Source organism: Homo sapiens, chromosome 8 (genome assembly GCF_000001405.40).
Source record: "Homo sapiens chromosome 8, GRCh38.p14 Primary Assembly".
Classification (NCBI taxonomy): domain Eukaryota; kingdom Metazoa; phylum Chordata; class Mammalia; order Primates; family Hominidae; genus Homo; species Homo sapiens.
The window spans coordinates 19,476,608-19,497,330 of NC_000008.11; the positions used below are offsets into that span (position 1 = coordinate 19,476,608).

Here is a 20,723-nt window from a genome sequence, read left to right on the forward strand (position 1 = left end):
ATCACAGGGGCCTATAACTGCATGACCTAAGAGAAGAGAGTGAGGCAACACAGCTTCCACCTTGTTTGCTGGAATATTTTGTTTTGGAACCCAGACTTCTATGTAAGAAGTGCAACTACCCCAAGGGTGCCACATGGTGAAAAAGCCACACAACATGGACAGGATACACATGGGAACTCCAGCCAGCAGTCCCAGTGCTCATGTCACAGCAGTCCAGATGCCGGACATGTGAGTGAGCAAGCCTTCAGATGATTCTAGACCTCAGCTGTTGACTCACTCCCCTCAAGACTTTCCCATGAGGCCTTCCCATGAGGTCCCGAGCCTGCTGGGGCAGGGACAAGCCATCCCCATGTGTCCTTTCTGAATTCCTGACCCAGTTGCAGAATCTGTCAGCATATGAAAATGGTAATAATAACTCACTAAAATTCCAAGATGATTTGTAATGCAGCAATAACTGGAACACATGTAATTGATCATTACTGGCAGGCAGAAGTTTTGCTGTATGTTCTCTGACAAGTTCACAACATGTAAATATGCTATGCTGTCCATCAAGAGCAGATGCCACCATTATCAGTTACTGCACTTTCAGTGTTAGCAACATCCTCTTATGCCACTCCAGGCATGCGCTGGAACATAAGGCCACTCAGGCTCCCCATAGAGCTGGGCAGTGGGGGTTCCCTGTGTAGGACAAAGATTTTCCTCAGAAAAAAGTTCTGGGTCCACTAAACACGTGGACAAATGGGTGGCTAAGACCCCAAAATCCCACACAACTGAGCACGGCTATAATGAATTCAGCCTAGAAAACTTTTCCAGCGGACGATAGCACACTCTTACTTTGGCCATAAAATCAAGCAAATAAACAAAGACCCCTGATTAAGTACCCACTGATAGTTATCTTTAATTTAACTTCTTGGCATACTCTCTAATATAAAAATGCGCCTTGGTTATGTAACTGGTTAACTTGGGAGACATAAACTCTAACTTATTAGTAATTATCTTAAAACTAAATGGTCTTCATATCCCAATTAAAAGGAAGGGCAGGCTCTAGAGCCGGGTGTGAGCCCCAGCTGTGTCATTTTGGGCAAGGTGCTTAACCTTTCTTTGCATCTATGTCTTCACTTCTAAAATAAGAATGATCGTAATACAATAGCTACCTCACAGGGTGGTTGTGAGGACTGAAATACATATGTAGCACTTAGAACAATACACAAAACATTTCAAGCACTTGATGGATGTCAGCTAGAATACTATTTGGGAGTGTGGGAAGAAAGACTTCGGTTCCTCCCATACACGTCCAAACTACTAAGAAGCCATGCGCCAGTTAGACAGTCAAATATATTTCATGATGTTTGATGAAGAGTAACACAGTTTCCAGGGACCCCACCTCCTGAAGAGGCACAAGCTTGAGAACTATTAGATGTCAGGTGATTCTAGCTCTAGGTCTGGTGGTTCCCGTTAAACAGCAGTGTGCAACTGTGGTTACACAGTGGAATCATTTGGGGAGCTTTAAAAATACTCATGTCTGGGCCGGGTGCGGTGGCTCACGCCTGTAATCTCAGCACTTTGGGAGGCCAAGGCGGGTGGATCACGAGGTCAGGAGATCGAGACCATCCTGGCTAACATGGTGAAACCCCGTCTCTACTAAAAATACAAAAAATTGGCCGGGTGTGGTGGCGGGCACCTGTAGTCCCAGCTACTCGGGAGGCTGAGGCAGGAGAATGGCCTCAACCCAGGAGGCGGAGCTTGCAGTGAGCCGAGATCGCACCACTGCACTCCAGCCTGGGCGACAGAGCGAGACTCCGTCTCAAAAAAAAAAAAAAAAAAAAAAAAAGGTACTGATGTCTGGGTCCCACTCCCAGAGATTCCGATTTAATTATTCTGTGGTGTAGCCTCGACTCCCCAAGAGACTAACTAACGTACAGCCCAGGTTGCAAAGTATCACTTGAGGGAGTATGATTTCAATGATTCCATAATCCAGTGATTCCTGCAAGGAGGTAACATCATTCACAGGCAGTCATGGGACACTGGTACTTCGCTAATAACATATTGCTCCTCTTCAAAGCAATTCTAGGAGTTAAGTGATGATAAAAATAATGACCCCCCCTTTCTCCACTGCTGAATTGCTCCACTGCTATAAATTGCTTCAGTAAAAAAGCATTAATGTTGCCAAAGCCTAATGTGACGAAGCTACTTATCCCTTGAAGGGCAATATTCAAATGAAACAAAGTAAACAACATTGATATCAAGAACTTTCCAGACCTCTGCATTCACTACCCTCCTTAAAGGGATCTTGTCATGTCATTTTAGGTTGCTAATGTTTGGATGGTAGGAAAAACACCATCCAACATGCAGAAGAAATACTGAGAAGCAGGATGAGTTCTTGAATGACTGGAGAGTGACTTATTTGATGATCCTATAGACACAGAATGCAAAGTTAAAACACCAAAGGTTACATGGTCTTATTAATGACTGCTATTATGATACATGCATTGTTATGATGCGATGAAGCAGACTTGAAAGAAATAGGAGAAAATACAATTCAGAGCAGGGAGCCATCTGCGTAACTTGTGGAAAAGTTGTCTTCTGGGCCCAGGACACCGTCTCTTCCCTTATATGAAGCTGGAATCATTACAGCTGTCACCAACGCAGACTAAAACATCTCAACGGCCACAGCTATAAAGAAACACACTCCATTGTCTTTGGATGAGAGTCTGTGCTCTGGATAGACTATGGGAAAAAGTCCATTAAGGACTCTATCCATGGTGAGAACCAGGATTCTCAAAGAGCCATTGGCGGCCAGTAGTCCAGGCTGGCCTTTGGTTTTATCAGTGTTAATAATTTGACACAGCTGTGGTTATTCTTTTTCTTTCATTATTATTATCAAACCTGGATACTATTTAATGGTCCTCATTAGTTCTGTCTTATTCTCCTTCATATGCTTATTATGTTTTAACTACAGTATTGAAGGCTTGGGGGAATTGTGATGCCACATGAAAGGTATAAGAAGTGCTGTTCTAACCAGGCAAATACCCAGAATTAAGGATGTTCATGCAGATACACAGAAAGCCCCGACTGTTAGGATTCCTCATTAAGTTCCTTCAGAAGCTGTGTGATTTAACAAGAGCCTGAAGGAAAAGCCGTATTTCTTGACTTAGAAAAAAAAAAAAAAAAAGATTCCTCTCCGTAGATCACACTAATGCCTGTCTTCAGGAAAGAACTTAGAAAAAAAAAAAAAAAAAAAGATTCCTCTCCGTAGATCACACTAATGCCTGTCTTCAGGAAAGAACTTTTCCCTGTATACTGGGATTCCATTAAAAACCCAAGTGTGATATAAATATTGGGATGACAGATACCTCTTTGTAGAGTACAGAACCCTAAAATAACTGTTCTCAACATGGTAAGCTTATTTTCTTTTGTTTGAATTACAAATAACTACAACAATGCATATTTCAGTTGCCTTCCTTCTTAAATTCTGAATAGGAAACAAGTCATGTATTTTATTTTTATTTTTTGCTTTTATTTGAAGTTCAGGGATACATGTGCAGGTTTGTTATATAGGTAAACTTCTGCCCCAGGAATTTATTGTACAGATTATTTCATCACCCCAGTATTAAGCCTAGTACCTATTATTTTTCCTGGTCCTCTCCTTCCTCCCATCCTCCACCCTCAGAGGTAGGCACCAGTGTGTGTTGTTGCCCTCTATGTGTCCATGTGTTTTCATCATTTAGCTACCACTTATTGGTGAGAACACGCAGTATTTGGTCTTCTGTTTTTGCATTAGTTTGCTTAGAGCTGGAGTGGTCTCCAGCTCCATCCAGGTTCCTGCAAAGGACATGATCTTGTGCTTTTTTATGGCTGCATAGTACGCCATGGTATGTACATACCACATTTTCTTTATCCAGTCTACTGTTGATGGGCATTTAGGTTGATTCCATGTCTTCGCTGTTGTGAGTAGTGCTGCAATGAACATATGGGTGCCTGCGTCTTTACAATAGAACAATTTCTTTTCCTTTGAGTATTTTAAACAAACCTAGCAAAGAGCATAGTTGCTGACCCATCATTGGGAATTTCTAGTTCCCTGAGGTTCAGTGATCTGGAGTGTCCAGCAATGAAGAAGTAAAACGTGTATTTACAGACAAGGGCTCATTTCTCTTCTCATTTCCTATCCCTACCAGGCTCACTCCAGCAGTGAGTTGCCTTTAAGATTAGAAGCCACACCAACAACACTGGGAGGAAAAACGAGGAATATTTCTTCTTTCTAAACAGTTACTCTAAAGTTTCCACCCGGCATCAACACCAGGCAATATCGACTCATTCCCCTCTTGTGCCCTGCTGTTTTGGCTCTCCTACGAGAGTGAGGGATCCTAGGTCTGTGTACTTCTCAAGTTCCAATTGCATGAGGTCATCTGCCCGTCCAAGTGCCTAAAATGTTGTCTACTGCTGGAAATATCACAGTGTAAGTCTTTTTCCAAGTTTTAAAGGCTGTAATTAATCAGGCATTAGCTTTACAATGACCAGTTCTTATGTGCGGCTAATAAAACCATCCTTCATCTTTCCAGTCACATCTTACTCCTTTCTAACTTTATTTTGCCACCGTGCCAGTCTTCTCATTTCCTGAATGCCTTGTGCCCATCGACCTCTGTGCCCTGGGTGTCTGTCCTTATAGTCTGCCCCATACTCCTGGTTGGCACCTTGCTAGTCACGGTCCTGTTTTAATCTTCATGTGTCTACGACGTCTCATTTTCCCAACTCAGAGTAGAAATTACATCTTATTCAAAAATCTTGACTACATCCTAGGGCCTAACAAATGGGAAGGTGCTTAGCAGGTGCTCGATAAACACCTGTGGACAGGAGTGACTTTATATAAAGATCACAGGTCTTTAGCTAAGTACCCTGCCCAAGATCTTCATCAAAGTCTACCCAAACCTCCTCTTGAGCTCAAAATCACAGTGGGGACACACTTAAGAACACCCTAGAACCACCCTGTGAAAACAAAGTCCCAAACTGGAGATAAGCACACATCCTTATGGTCAAAATTTTATAATCAAAATGACATCATAGTCGTTTCTGTATCCTCAATGCCTCCCTCTCTGGCTTTTCTACCCGGGCCATAGAAAAAAGTGCTGAGCTCATGTTGCTGTGATTATACCACAGGTGACAGGACTAGAACACATCCCAGAGTAACCCAGACTTAAGCCAACAAACATGTATCAAACCCATCTTATGTGCAAAGCTAAAACTTATGGAGATACAGAGATAAAACAGTATTTTCTCAACTGAAGCAACTTTTGAATACTTAGAAGTACTCAAAATAATTTAAGGGTTTCAAAATGCTGGCAGGAGTGCAGGGGGCTTTTTTTTCCATATACTGCAGCTACTCAATAGGACATAGGCAAACACACCGATGCTTTCACGTTATCAGCTCTTTCCATCAAATCGCTCATGACTCCGATTAAATACACACACAGCCCTACTCCTGAGTATACACACTAGAGCTCAGCACAGCTACCGCTCCTACCATTTCCTTCCTCTCTTTCAGCGCTGAGCACCTAGATCAGCGCTGGGAAACAGAATGTTCGGTGATAATGGACATGTTCTTAATCCATTTTGTCAAACGGCTACTGTACACTTGAAATGTGGCTAGTGAAATTGAGGACATACATTTTTAATTGTATATGATTTTAATTAATTTTTGTTTAAAATAAGCACATGCAGGGAGCAGCACTGTGCTGGACAGTGCCGTTTTAGGCTCTGTAACCAACATCAGAGGACTTTTTCCTTTTCTTGTCCCACGGCAACCTTATTTCTGCCCCTACCACTCCACTGATGATGTTCTCTCCCCAATCCAGGCCAGCAATGACTTCTTCTGCTACATCCAATAGATCCTGTAAATTCTTATCTCGTACTGCCTTTCTCAATATTCGATGCTAATGCCCACACTCTCCATCTAAAGCCGCTTTCTCTCCTTGTGTTTTGAGTTACCAAATCCTTCTGACTTTCTGCCTCCCTCTTTGGCTGTTCCTTTATAATTTCCATCACGGGTGCCCTTCCTCTGCCTATAACATAATTGTGGGTGGTCCTCAAAGTTCCGATCACAGATCGCTTTTCACTCTCAATGTTTCTACGGAAAATCTCATCCATCTCCACAGTTTAAATTTGCATCAATAAGTCCTAACCCCTTAGCTCCAAATTTGATTTTTATTTTGAGCTCCAAACCCATATTCCAACTGTCTTGGCCCTCTCCCTTTATGTGTCCCAGAGACAGCTCAAAGTCACCCCTACAACTAAGCTGATCATCTCTCCTGGTCTAGTTCTTCCTCTTCTGAGGAGCAGTGAGTGGCATTAGCATTAAATGAGCTGAGCTTCATCCTTCACACCTCCCTCTCCATCCCACATCCAGTATACAGTGACATTCACATAGATGTTTACTATTATTTATTATCTGATCAATTACCAAGCCCCATGGGTTCTGATCCCTCAGGGTCTCTGGAATCACCCACTTCTCTTATCCCTAATTCTGCTACCACAAATGAAGCTGGTAACGTCTCAGCCTGGAATTACAACAACAGCTCTTTGTCCCTCTAGGCTGAGTCCCTCCAATACATTCTCAACAGAGCAGACAAAGCAATATTTCTAAATATAATTCTAATAATGTCACCCTTCTGTTTAAGCCCTTCAATGGCTCCCTGGTTTCATTAAGACAAAGCCCAAAGGCATGTGAAGTTAAAGCACTTCATTATGTCTGGTTCTCAGTGATATCCCCAAGTTTCATCTCAACATGCCCTGACCCCAAACTCAATGCTCCAGCCAAAATGGATTTTAGCCTTATGAATTCACCAAGCTCTGCCCTGCCCTAGGGCTCTGCATACCACCACTATTGGTCCCCACAGCCTATACTGGCCATCCCCAGTCTACTTTTGCTCCTCTCTGTCCTGTTCCCTTCTATCTCTCTAGACTTAGCTCAGAATATCTTCCTCCAGGGATCAATCCTTTCCACACCCTACAAGAGTGGATCTGATGGCCTTCCTTCCTACATGCCCCATACAACAATTATGTAATCTCTGTAATCTAAAACCATACCTTATCACCATCACTGATCATCTGTTTACTCATCTGTGCAGCCCAGGGCCAGCTGGGAAACTCTCATTTCTTCATCTTTGTTTCAACCATGTCTGACGGCAAATAATAAATTACTATTGACTAAATTAAGTGAATATGTAGCAACAGCCTTTCTTCCAATGTATTGTCCTTTAATAGACATATACCTCAATCTGACAGATAGCTGTCCCCACTTACCGACTATTTTGCTTTTCATGGTTTCAGTTACCAGCAGTCAATTGAGGTCCAAAAATATTAAATGGAAAATTCCAGAAATAAACAGTCCATCCTGTCCAGGATGTGAATCATCACTTTGTCCTGCATACCTAGGCAGTGGACACTATCCCCCAAACAGCCCTCCCTCCACCCCATTAGTCTCTTAGGAGCTGTCACAGTGATCAGATCAAATATTGTGGTATTACTGCGCTTATGTTCATGTCACTTTTATTTTACTTAATAATGGCCCCTAAGCACAAGGGGAGTGATATAGCAATTCAGATACACCAAAGAGAAGCCATAAAGAGCTTCCTCTAAGTAAAAAGATGAACATTCTCCACCGAATAAGAAAAAAATCACATGCTGCAGTTGCTAAGATCTATGAGAAGAATGAGGAAAGCTTAGTATAAAGAGGGGTTGGTACTATTCAGTTTCAGGTGTCCACTGGGGGTCTTGGAACATACAACTCGAGGATAAGGGTAGACTACAGTAAGAAATGATATTTATTTATTTTAATTTATAAAGGAAAGAGGTTTAATGCACTCACAGTTCCACATGGCTGGGGAGGCCTCACAATCACGGCAGAAGGCAAAGGAGAAGCAAAGGCATGTCTTACATGACAGCAGGTAAGAGAAAGGAAACGTTACTGGCATTCTCATTTCAGGAGTCAAGTTGCCTGGTTGCAGGACAGTGTAATCACGCAATTCCTCCAGATTCCCAGATACCAAAGTTGGCCAATTTGTGGGCTGAAGTGTGTCTCCCCAAAATTCACATGTTGAAACTCTAATCCCTAGTACCTCAGAATGTTATTGTGTTTGGAGAATACCAAGAAGTACTTTTGTGGGCTTTTAAGTAAGTTATTAAGTTACAATGGGGCTGCTCTGGTGGGTCCTAATCCAATCTGACCGGTGTCCTAATAAAAGGAGGACATTTGGACACACAGGAGAGACACCAGAGACGTGCACTCACAAAGGAAGAGTCATTTTTGACCTGTCCTCACTGAGGACACAGTGAGAGGGGGTGGTCCTATGCAAGCCAAGGAGAGAGCCCTCCGAAAAAACCAGACCTGCTGGCACTTTCACCTTGAACTTCCAGCCTGCCAGTGGGTGAGAAAATAAACTTCTCTTGTCTCAGGCTTTCAGATTGTGATGCCCTGTTATGGCAGCCCAAGTCATATAATACAACCAATGATGGCCACCATCAGTTACACAGCATCTACTTGCCCAGAATGTGTCTTCTGTAAGTGTATTTATTTTTAAATTACACACACATATACCCCATCCAGCGTCTTCCCATCTCGGTCAATCACAACACACTCTTGTGTGTTCGGCACAGGCTGAAATCTACTAAGTCATCCCCGACTCTTCTCTTTCTCTTGTTAATCCATTAGTAAACCATGCTGCTCCTACCTTCAAAATATGTCCAGATTCCGACTAGGCACTTCTAACCCCCTCCACTGTGAGAGATAAAAATAAAATCCTAAGCCCCCAAGTCACTCAACAGACCCCGTCTTGGCCAAGGGATCCCCAGAGAAACCCTGGAAGCTGAATTCAGGGGCATAATGGGATAGGAGATAGGACACCCCTGTTGATGTTAACAGCTCCTAACAGCTATTAGGCTTTCTTCCCTAAGGGCTAAACAGCAGCCAGCCCTTTTAGAAAGCCTACTAGCTTATTTACTAGGTACAGAACAAAGACAAGATGAGATTAATCATTCCTTCACCCCTCCCAGAGACATCTGCTTCCTCCATTCCCTTTTACTTCAAATATTCACCTTATCTTATGTAAAACATAGATTTACTGGGCACTAACTAAAGTCTCACTGCCACCTCAGCTTGCTTTTTTTTTTTTTTTTTTTTTTTTTTGACAGAGTTTCACTCTTGCTGCCCAGGCTGAAGTACAATGGCATGATCTCGGCTCAGCACAACCTCTGCCTACCAGGTTCAAGCAAATCTTCTGCCTCAACTTCCCAAGTAGCTGGGATCACAGGCACACGCCACCACATCTGGCTAATTTTGTATTTTTAGTAAAGACAGGGTTTCTCCATGTTGATCATGCTGGTCTCAAACTCCTGACCTTGGGTGATCCACCCACCTTGGCCTCCCGAAGTGCTGGGATTACAGGCGTGAGCCACCGTACTCAGCTGCCACTTAAGGGTTTTAAGAAAAATATGTAAATACTAAACCTCCTGAGAGTCTCTTTGGGAGAAAAAAAAAACAAAAAAAACAGCCACAGATGCTTCTATGACTTGTGTTTTTCCCAGGTGTGCCTTTAGGCTGGCTTAATGAGCCTTGATGATTGGTGACAAGCCTCAATCACTCATTTTGGTTGTCACTTGTTACCACCTTGGTCCAGCCACTCTCACCTGCTGCCTGGTAACTGTCATGGCTGCCTAATGGTGGTCTCTGAGCTTCTGCCCTACCTCCCCAAGTCTATTCTCAACACAACCTCCAGAAAAACCCTTCTAAAACTGGGTCTTCCCATCTCACTGAGGGTAAAAGCCAAATCCTCACCCGGGTCTATGAGGCTCACATGACATGCCCCTCCCCTACTTCTCAGACCTCATCTCCTCCTTTTCTCTCCCTCACTGGCTCTGCCCCTGCACACTGCCCCTCGAAGCATTCCTGCCCAGAGCTTGCACACTAGCTGTTCCTTCCATCTGGAAACTCTCTTCCTTCAGGTATAGGCATGGGTGGCCACCTCTTTCTCTTCAAGTTTCTGCTCCAATATCACCTACTCAATGAGACCTACATTGACTGTCTTATTTCAGATTGTATTATCGTCCACTGAAGCCCCCAGCCCCCTTAAACGCATTGATTGTTCCTCTAAAGGGAATCCCCTTTACTCAGCTATGGAATTTGCTTACTTAGGTTCATGTTTATCATCTCCTCAACTAGAACACAAGCCCTGCAACGTAGATTTTGTCTCAGTTTTCACTCCTGGCTCCCCATTGCCTGGGACAGTACCTGGCGCACAGTAGCTGCCCAACAACACTTGAAGAAAAGGTAACCAAAAAGGCTGCCTACTCTTTCATGCTTGTGTCAATGGATAGCAGGATTTACTACCTGTCCTCTTAGGAAGCCAAGGCAAACAGAAATCCTTTAGCTGTTATTTTTGGGGAAGAAAGTTAACCTACATTCAGATGCCAACTCATGCTTTTATATAATGCTTCCCTTCTGAAGAATTGCCTCAATTTTTTCTCAAGCTGACAACTCTAAAGAGCTTAAATTTTATCCCCAAAAGCTTTTGCTTTAACATTTACTCACATTCTGCTCCAGAGACTCATATGTCATGTTAATATCCTAGAACACAGCATTGCTTTAAAAAGACAAACAATTTCACTCCCACCAACACCCAAATGAGAACATTTCACCTCCCAACAGCAGCGATGGTGTCTGGAAATAAAATGTCGTCTTTCTCTTACTGCTGTTCATGCTTAGTCAAACCAACCCCAGATTCAAAGAGCACAGGATGCCCAGTGTCCATGACAGGGAGGTTCCAGGACACGGCCCACATGTCAACACGATGGTGGAGCCCACACCTACTGCAAAGGGCGAGACACATGAGCTCTGAGCCTGACAAACTAGAATCTAATCGCTATTAACATAATGGACAGAAAGTCAATAAGAAAAATGGATAAGATTCTGGAGAAGAAAAATGTCAGACTTTGAAAGACTCAACTGTTGATAAACTCCAACAGCCGAAAAGCCACCTCTCTTACAAACTCGCCTGCACCTTCAGCTAAGGTGCTTGGTACAAGTCAACTATTCATGGTAGTTTTCCACAAAAAAGGGTGTTTCCATATGCAGACTGAGATATCCTTCCCATGCCATCCATCTTCTAATAGGATTTCTAATTAGAAAAGGGCTGTAGGTATCATGAAATCATTGAGCTCTCTAGTCAAAGGCAGCTTGGGGGTTTAGAATGGAAACACAGCAGCCCAAAGAATGAACTGAGAATGAAAATTCTCACTTCAAGATATGCTAAAAAAACTGTGAAGTGATATTGATATTAACCCTAGATCCAAAATTCTTCATATAATACACCTCCCAAGAGACACCCTCTCACCTCACATACTGTAAGCACACAGTGATACACTATGGGGGTTTGCAATATGACTGCTGATAATCATAGTATTAGTACAGGGGGCTGGGCTCAGTGGCTCATGCCTGTAATCCCAGCACTTTGGGAGGACGAGGTGGGTGGATCACCTAAGGTCAGGAGCTCGAGACCAGCCTGGCCAAAATAGTGAAACTCCATCTCTATTGAAAATACAAAAATTAGGCAGGTGTGGTGGTGTGCACCTATAATCCCAGTTACTCCGGAGGCTGAGGCAGGAGAATCGCTTGAATCTGGCAGGCAGAGATTGCAGTGAGCTGAGCTCATGCCACTGCACTCCAGTCTGAGCAACAGAGCGAGACTCCATCTCATTATATATATTTATATATACATATATATATATATATATATATATATATATATATATATATATATAGTTAGATCAGAATTCTAACTTTGTAAAGAGCCCTTCTTCACTGAACAATGTTTACTTTTATAATTTTGTTTATATTAAGCAGTGTTTTGGAAATGATTCCATAAAGGGAAATGAACCCATGACTACTTAACGGTATCTCAGAGAAAATCAACTGCTATTCAGAAGGGTATGAAGAGCCAGGGAAGGAGTGTAAACAATTTCTAGGGGTATAAAAATGCTCTCCGCAAATTTCCACCAACAAATAACAAAAGCAGTAATAATTACTAACATTTTATTGGGCCAGGCACTGCTATAATGACATGTGTAAAGACCCATATATAGTTTATAACAACCCGACAGGGTAGATTATTAATAATGTCAGTTTCACAGAGAAATAAACTCAGGAAAAGAGAAGCTAAGAACCCTGTATACCTGACACAATCAGTTAAACAGTGAAGAGAAGACAACAGCATCGGGATGGGATTGTCTCATCAATTTTCCCTGCTCATGAGTCACAGCAGAATACAGGGTTTTCATTTTATATAAACTCAGGATCCTTGAAAATGAATAATATGCAGTTATTATTATGCGCAAATAAGTCCAAGAAGAAACAACGGCCCCCATTTGAAGGGCAAAAGATGTATCTCCTACAGGTAGAAAATGGAGATGAGAGATGGGGAGACCAGGGCACCTAAGAAGGGTTAATTGCAAAGAGCATAGTGTGAGTCCCTAGTCAGACACAGGGTGTCCCTAGAAGAGAGAGAAGATGAAAAGTGAATCCAGTGAGAAAATCAGTATGATTATTACAACAGAAATACCAAACCTACAAATAAATTGCCCTTCTATTTTACAGAGTAAAATCAAAATACAGATAGGGAAGAATGAAATAGTCATAGGAAATCATCACTATCCAATGTTTATCAACCACCAATTATGGTGATTATTGTCATATTGTTAGACTTTAAATGCTTAGTCTCTCTCTCAAAGGAAAAAAATCAAACAAAAATTTACTCATCACTCGCCAGAGCCATCCTTTCCTCTGGTCTCAAAGGAAGCATTTTCCTTCTTCCTTCTGAGGCCAATCCCTCAACCTGTGGTCTTCTTCCTATCCCCTCTGTGATTTCATTTATTCATTCAACAAACATTTAATCAACGTTTATGTACCAGGCAACGTGCTTAATATTAGGGCTACAAAGTGGTATGAGAAAGGGTCCCTCATTTAAGTCTAGGGGGAGACCCTGATGAATTAATCGACAATCACAGGACACAAATGGTATGAAAATGGAGCATAAGGAATCTTTGCACCATCGAGGGTCCCATATTGTCTTTTCACTGGCTGTCTTCACGATGACATCTTTCCTTAGCCCTGTTAAACATAGCTGTGTGTCTCCAATTTTAAATTAAAACCAAAAATCTCTCCTTCAACTTTCTTGTTAGGAACCTTTTGTTAGGAAGCCAAGCTGAGCTGACATCTATCAGCTGGAATGGTATGTTTACACACATTTTCTAGCCCTGTGTGTTCTAACCAAAGTCTCCTTCTACACCTTGAATGGTACCAAGAAAAGCAAAATTCTGCTCCAAGCTCAGAAAATGACCAATTGCCTTCATAGACTAATTACCACATGGGCCAGCTGCCTTCCTGGACCATCTGTTCTTTTGATGGCCCCCAAATATTTCTAACTCTGGGATTCGAGTATAACAGCCAGCAACATTCAGAAGCCAATCCTGATCAATAGCCCTGCTCTTCCCCCGACTTCCCAGCTCCTCTTTAAATAGCGCATGGAACATCACTAATTTAGGCATTCTAAAAATACAGCACATAATACAGACCAAGCTACAGATGGAAGGCTGCACACGAGAAGCTGCTTCTGCGACTCACACTGGTTTTCACAGACTGACTGCAAAACAGTATTTTGGGAAAGAGAGGAAAAGAGAGAGACAGGTTTAAAAAAACAAAAGGCACTTTTGACAGTAGGGTCTTTCATCAAGGGAAGGAAGAAGAGGTGTTTTGTTCTTTTTCCTCTTGTCCTTGAAAACTCCTATTCATCTCCTGGGAGTACTGGGAAGGGGAAAAAAGAAAGCATCATAAGATGCCACCAGGAAAGGGACTCTGACGGAGAACACCAGAACCTCTGGTTCCACCAAACTCTTGCTTAGAGGCCAGGAGCATGCGAAACCACCTTTTCTGCAGAGCCAACTGATAAATCCACACCAGCTTAGTGCTATATGCTGATTGGTTCTCTCCAGCTTGGACACCTGTAGTCTCCATCACAATGCAGGAGAAGTGGAGCCCAGGACACAATGAGGCTTTGCTGTAACTTCTTCCACAGGGCCCATCATCTCCTTCCCCAAAAAACCCTCACCTTTACAGGCTGCCTGCTCCAGCCTTGGTATTTAGGGTAAAGACTGATTGAGACCTAGAAGTTACCTGTAATTTTATTTTTCTCTTTCTGGATTCTCCAGGTGATTCCCAGGCAGCAGGAAGGAAGTCCCCTGAAACTACCACCTCGAAACCTGGGACTGTTTCAATTACCCTATTCTGTCACGTTTAGAATCAAATGCTAATTTATTTTCTAGTCATGTCAACATGATTCAAGCACTGCCATATCTTATTGCAAAGTATAACAGCAACAGAATTTCCAAAGAAAGTATCTGGAAAACACAGCATCACTCATAATTCTACCACTCAGGAAAAAAAAAAAAACCAATGCTTTGCTACAGTGTTTTCATCCCCTCGATCTTTTTTCTTTACATAGCTAGATAAAAACTTTATAATTATTTTCACAATTAAAATGATAGCCTTTGTCCTATGTTAATATTTACTGAATAAATGATTTTTGTTTACCGTACAATATTCTACTATAACGATACCGCAAAATTTTACCAGTCTCCTATTGTTAGACAACTAATTGCTTCTCATTTTTCATTATTATAAATACTTCTATGATATAAATATTCATGGACATTTCTGAGAATCAGCTTTCAGAAAGGAAAATACTGGAAAAAGCTATGAATATTTTGAACGTTCTTGATACAAATTACTTTACAGAATGATAGAAACAGTTTATGCTCTTAATACTAAATATAAATTTTCATTTCACCTGCTCCTAACAATATGTGTCATCATTTATAAAATTGTGAAAATTCGTATTTTACATTTGTTTTAAACTTTATTAGGTAAGAAAAAGTAAACAGTTTTTTATTTGTATATCAGATATCTGTATCTCTTTTGTGATCCGTTCATCTTTTGCTCATGTATCTTTCATGATGTTTGCTTGGGTTTAAGTTTCAGCAAGAATTTATGTCATGCTCATATGCATCTTGAACCAAACAAAGCAAGGTCTTTTCACATTTCACTCTTAGCATTTCATGTGTGTTTCGATGTTGTGCAGTAATTTGCAAACGACACAACTGATTTCTAATAAATTCGGTACATAATTCAAGGGTACTAAGACATACATTTACATTCCACACACTTTACATGAGTCCACAGAATTAGCAATTTTTCAAGCATTGCAGTGCAAATTAGTATGTGGGTAGAGGTTACAGAGATTAATGATTTCTTTAGACATGGATGGAAGGCCAAAGTACACTCTGTGCTATTAATAAGCTCTATTTATTGACCATAAACATATTCATAACTTAAGTAGGTTCAGCCATGAACTTGAAAATGAAAAATGTGTTTACAATGCCACTCATGGGAACATTGGTAACTAGTGAGAATCCTTTGGAAAATGTCTATAAATTTACAGGATTTAAGTAACAAAATGCTAACTATATGCGAGAAGGCTCTTCTTTTCAGAGAAGCACGTATCTAAGGTCAACAGCACACAGCCCTCACAATGAGATCAACCAGCATACTGCTAGGCTATGCCTGGGACATAGTAGACATTTGGTTGAAGCCCTCACGATGAAATCAACCAGCATACTGCTGGGCTATGCCTGGGATGTAGTAGACATTTGGTGAATGTTTGTTGAGTAATTATCCCAGGATGGTAAATTTCATCTACCTCTTCAGTTTCCTGCACGCTACTCCTGATCTCCTGATTCAGAAGGCATTTTTCTGCATTTTTACTAATGTCTAGTATGAACTTCAAACATCAATTCACGTCCTCTTAAACTCTGTGCCATCTACCCTGCTGGAGCTAGCCTGCCAACCTGGGCCAAGCCTCACCTGTGTCATGTCCGATGCCCCAGTCTGACTTAGATTTTGCCCTAAAGGCTTTCAGGATAAGGGCATGTTCCATTCAACACCAGCTGGAAGCCCAGCCATGCTCTGGTCTTGCTGGTCCACGCCACTGGCCCGTAGCCACCAGCCTAGCAATGGCATAATGCTGCCAGTTATTAGGCTTGAATGTTTAGCCTCAAACTACTGATATCGTATTTAAAACATTATTCCCAAACTGGAAATTCATCTTTATAGTAATCTGTTGACTATGATCAGGAATAATATGAACAGATTTTTCATAGTTTTGTCTGTTAAACTAATCTTATGGTAAAAATAAGATTTAAGTCTTCTTTCTTTTAGTTTGTGCCCTGCCTCGCCTGTCCAGTGTATGGCATATTTGTGTCTTCCATGACAAGGTTACGATCAAGCACTGACATAAGTGAGAAAGAGAATCGACATCAATAAATTCGATAGCTGCCTAAAATTCTTTTTTTGAAAAAAAAAAAAAACATCTGTAAATATGTTTGCAACAGATTCTTTATTAAACACTTTTGTGAAATGTCTATGGAAGAGCCCAAAATACTAAATTAAAGCTAAAGAATTACTCTCTCCTGAACACATTCAGCCTCCCCCAACCTTCTATTTCACAGCAACAGCTTCCACTCAGGAGCTCTTCGGTCACCTCAACTATTTTTAAAGCCTTTTCATTAGTCTCCCAGTTTCCACTCTTTTTTGGGGGAGGGGGACAGAGATTGTGTTATTTATTTATTGAGTTAAAATTCACGTCACACAATTCACCCCTTTAAAGCAGACAAGCTAATTTTTGTATGTGTTACCAGGTTTGTGCAACCATCACCACAATCTATTTTTAGAGACTATTGCGTCTTCTCCAAAAGAAACTAAGTATTCACAGTCACTCCCCATCTCCACCAACTCCTCCAACCCCCAGAACCCTAGGCAAACACTCGTCTATTCTCTGTCTCTGCTGATTTGCCTATGCTGGACATTTCACAGACATGGAATTATAGGACATGTAGTCTTTGACATCTGGTTTTTAACTTGATGTAATTTTCTCAAGGACCATTTATGCTGCAGCATGTTATCAGTAATTCATTTCTTTCTATGGCCAAATAATCTTCTATTGCATGCAATTCCACATTCTGTTTATTGATCCATCCACTGATGGACATTTGGGTTGTTTCCACTTTTTGGCTATTATGAACAAAGCTACCATGAATATTCACATAGGAGTTTTTAAGTTAATGTGTGTTTTCATTTCTCATCAGTATATATACGTATGTGTGTTTATACACACACACACACACACACACACACACACACACATCTAGGAGTGGAACTGCAGGTCACATGGCTACTCTGTGTTTAACATTTTGAGAAACTGCCAAACTATTTTCCAAACCTGCCTCCAATGTAATCCTCTATCCTGCTATCCGAGTGACCCAGCTAGAAAACAAATCTAGCCACGACATTTAAAATGGTCAACAAACCATTGAATAACCTACACTTAGGTAGCACACAAAATGCATAGTAATCTTGGCCCTGCTTAATTCTTCAGGTTTATCACCTTGCCATGCCCTCTTCTTCTATCTAAACCTATTATGTTCCTCCTTGATGCGCCAGCACTAACTGGTTACCTATGGATCTCCAGATCAACCAGCTTGTGCATACCTCCATGTTTTGCCCATGTTAGTTACTCCTGCTCCCAAAACACTCCCCTCCTCCACAACACACACACATCTTTGGCCTACACCAATTCTACACATCTTGCAAAACATGCTCAAGAGTAGCCTTCCCTGTGATGCCCTTCCTGATCATTCCACTCCATGACCAATTCTCTCTGTTCTGTACACTTGTTTAATACATGACCCTGTGCTGTCCTTACCTGTGTACATGGGTGCCCCTTCATTTGGGCTCTGGGGCTTGTGAGAGGCAGGGACTATATTGTCTAACTCTGTCCATCTCCAGCACTGAGAATGCCTAAGTCACATCCAATGAACAAAGAACACTGAATATCCAAGTCTTTAACAATCTCGAAGCACAAATCTCATTCTGTCCCATTACACATCTATTCCTACACTTAACAAAGTTTTGAGTTGCACTTAACCTGAGTACCTCCTCCTGCAATTTAATTTCCTCTGGTTCTGTTCTTTACAATCAGCACCCTGCCTATGGAAACCTTCAGATGAAGTCACCTCTGACAGCTGCATTTTCCATAGCATTGAGAAACCAGATGGAACACTCCAACGTTAGAAAGTCCATTTCTTCCCTCCACCCTATGTTCACAGTAAAAACAGAAAATGGGCGGGGGGCGGGGGGCAGGAGGGTCGGGTAGGATTTAGGCAGCTATTTGCATGATGGAGCCCCTCTTCTTGTGTTTAACCCTCTCCCACCTCAGCTCCTATATGAGATGTAATGGGAATAAAGTCATCTAGGCAAAGGCTCAGCAGATACTCACTCCGAAGAACAACAAGCCCAAATGTCTCCACGGATGTTGACTTCTGATAAGCAATCTCAATGGAAACAGGTGGAGAGGGAGGAAGAATGCGTCCTAGACCCTATCTCTTGCTTGCAATCAAAATAACCTCATCAGGGCCATCCACATGTTCCCCTTCTTTAGGTAAATCAGATTGATTCTGACTTACGGTGTAGAGAAACATTGGAAGCTTCTGACAGTGAAATTTACAATGCCAGGAAATACAGGGAGGCAGTCCTCTATTTACAAATGGGTCCTGTTCCAATATTCATTTGTAAGTTACTCAGAAAGCACAGAAACAATATTGTCTGTTGTGGTGAAGTCCTCAGACCAGCCCATAAAAACCTCTTTAACCCATCGTATGCCTGCAGTATGGCATTTATAGGGCTGTATGCATTGATCCAGGGATGTAACTGTGAAATCCATCCACAGTTCTAACTTTGAAAGTCAGAATGACACCTCGCAGGGATCAGTGAGAGAGGGACTATCCCTCCCCACAAGACAGGGAGGAGGCTGGAGAGGAGGGAGCTCTAAGTCACTACTGATGGGTCCTTAGGGCACAAGCTCCAGATGGCAAGGATAGGTGCAGAGAAACAAAGGAAGCAGAAGCTACTGACTGGCAAAGGAAGTCTGCCAGAAAAAGAAGCACAAGATTCGGAAGAGAATGTGTAGCCTCCTCAGGGTTTAAAGTCTTGGCTTTATTTCTGAACCAAGGGTTTGTGTGAGGTGATGATAAAGAGAGAAGCGGGGGACACTTCAGCCAGTGCTGTGTCTCCAGGCCTGCAGGAGGAAGGGAAATATAGGGAAAAGGTAGACAGTTCTGGAAGGAACAAGATATTACCTTTGCCTCTCCAACCAATACCCATTTTAACTCCCTTCCTCCAGCTAACATAGGACTTGTGTCAAAACTGGAATGGGATAAAAGGGGTTCTAGGCTGACTAAGGTGAAAGGAAGAAAGTTCGGAAAATAATGACCCCGTATTCCGGCAATGAGGAAGAGGGGGCTGATTCAACACCACCAATTTGGAGCAGTATGCTTGTTAACTACAAATTTCCACAATAAGAACAGCCTTACTTTTTAAGATAATATGGCATTTGGGAGAAGAAATCCAAGGGCCCAACACTACTCATAACATTAAAACTCAAAGAATATGTATCTGGTAAAAGATAGGGTTTTTAAAAAGAACGCCGTTTCTTTAAATCACCACCATAGAACACAGATCAGATCACGGGATCCGAGGCTTTCATATTCAAAAGTAAATCTTCTAATAAGGGACTTCCAGATTTGGGGTGTTACCACAACATTCCCACTCATGAGTAAAAACAACACACCTCAGTTCTTTTAAGCTATGGGACTCTGCTTGATGGTTGGAACTAGGTTGTGAGGTTGTGGGAAGACGTTATTCATTTGTAGAGCAGTGTAAGTAGACAAACTAATCAATAGGTTTTAAAGTATGATTTTATAAAGGAGTTTCAGACTTCTGTTTCTGCTCCAAGATATAATGAGCTGAAAGAAGCATCCCTTACCACGAAAAAGAACCACATAACCTTAGAATCCAAGACTTTTTTGGAACTTAGTAGAGAGGTGAAGTCACGGAGCAAACAGCTGGCTCAGAATCTGAGGAGTCACAGGTGCTGGCAGGGAGAAAAGAGATATGAGCCCTTGCTTGGTGGGGCAGATACACTCAGCTAATGGTAAAAAGAAATCAACGACCTAAGCAAGGCTCAGTGCAGATGAGTAGGGCAGTGAAGCCCTTTGTGGTTCCAAGAAGTGGAGCTTCCTTTCGCAAGCTCTTTCTCCAGGAACCCCAATGGGTGCTAATAAAAATGATCAGAAAGAACCTTAGGACACCGACCATGCTGTGCAGCCGGCGGGAGGGGACAGGAGCTCCCTGGGAGGGGCAAAACACTCTTCCCGGACCCTCCCCCTCCCGCCTCCCCTCTATGGAGCAAAAACCTTATTGGTGGGGAAAGATCAACAAATATTCTCACCTTAGGGAACTGGTGAAAACTAAGTGCAGCTGAGGAAGGCGGAGTGGGGACAGGAAAATACCCTAAGACCCAGTGACGTGGTACCTGCCTAGGACTGAGATTTTATCAGAAAAATCAGAGACAACCCCACTTCCCTCCTGCCCTGCACAGACAGTTAAGCTGGTAAGCTGTGAATAACAAGAAACAGCAGAATATTGCTGGGAGTGAGAGAGGAGAGAAGTACAGAGACCTTCTCTGAAATACAGAGCAGTGAGTAGACCTCAATTGCAGGGCTGAACAGAC

General features: G+C 42.0%; 1 protein-coding gene across 61 annotated transcripts in view; it reads right to left on the minus strand.

The window, feature by feature from the left end:
* CSGALNACT1 (chondroitin sulfate N-acetylgalactosaminyltransferase 1) overlaps positions 1–20,723 on the minus strand; it is a 353,748-nt gene that overhangs the window by 72,447 nt on the left and 260,578 nt on the right. The window contains exon 1 of one of the 61 annotated variants that reach the window (XM_011544585.4): positions 18,432–20,696. The exons of the other annotated variants lie outside the window; for them this stretch is intronic. The gene's annotated coding sequence lies outside the window, so the exon portion shown is untranslated. Of the gene's footprint in view, positions 1–18,431; positions 20,697–20,723 lie in introns of those variants that run through there. 61 annotated transcript variants of the gene reach the window in all.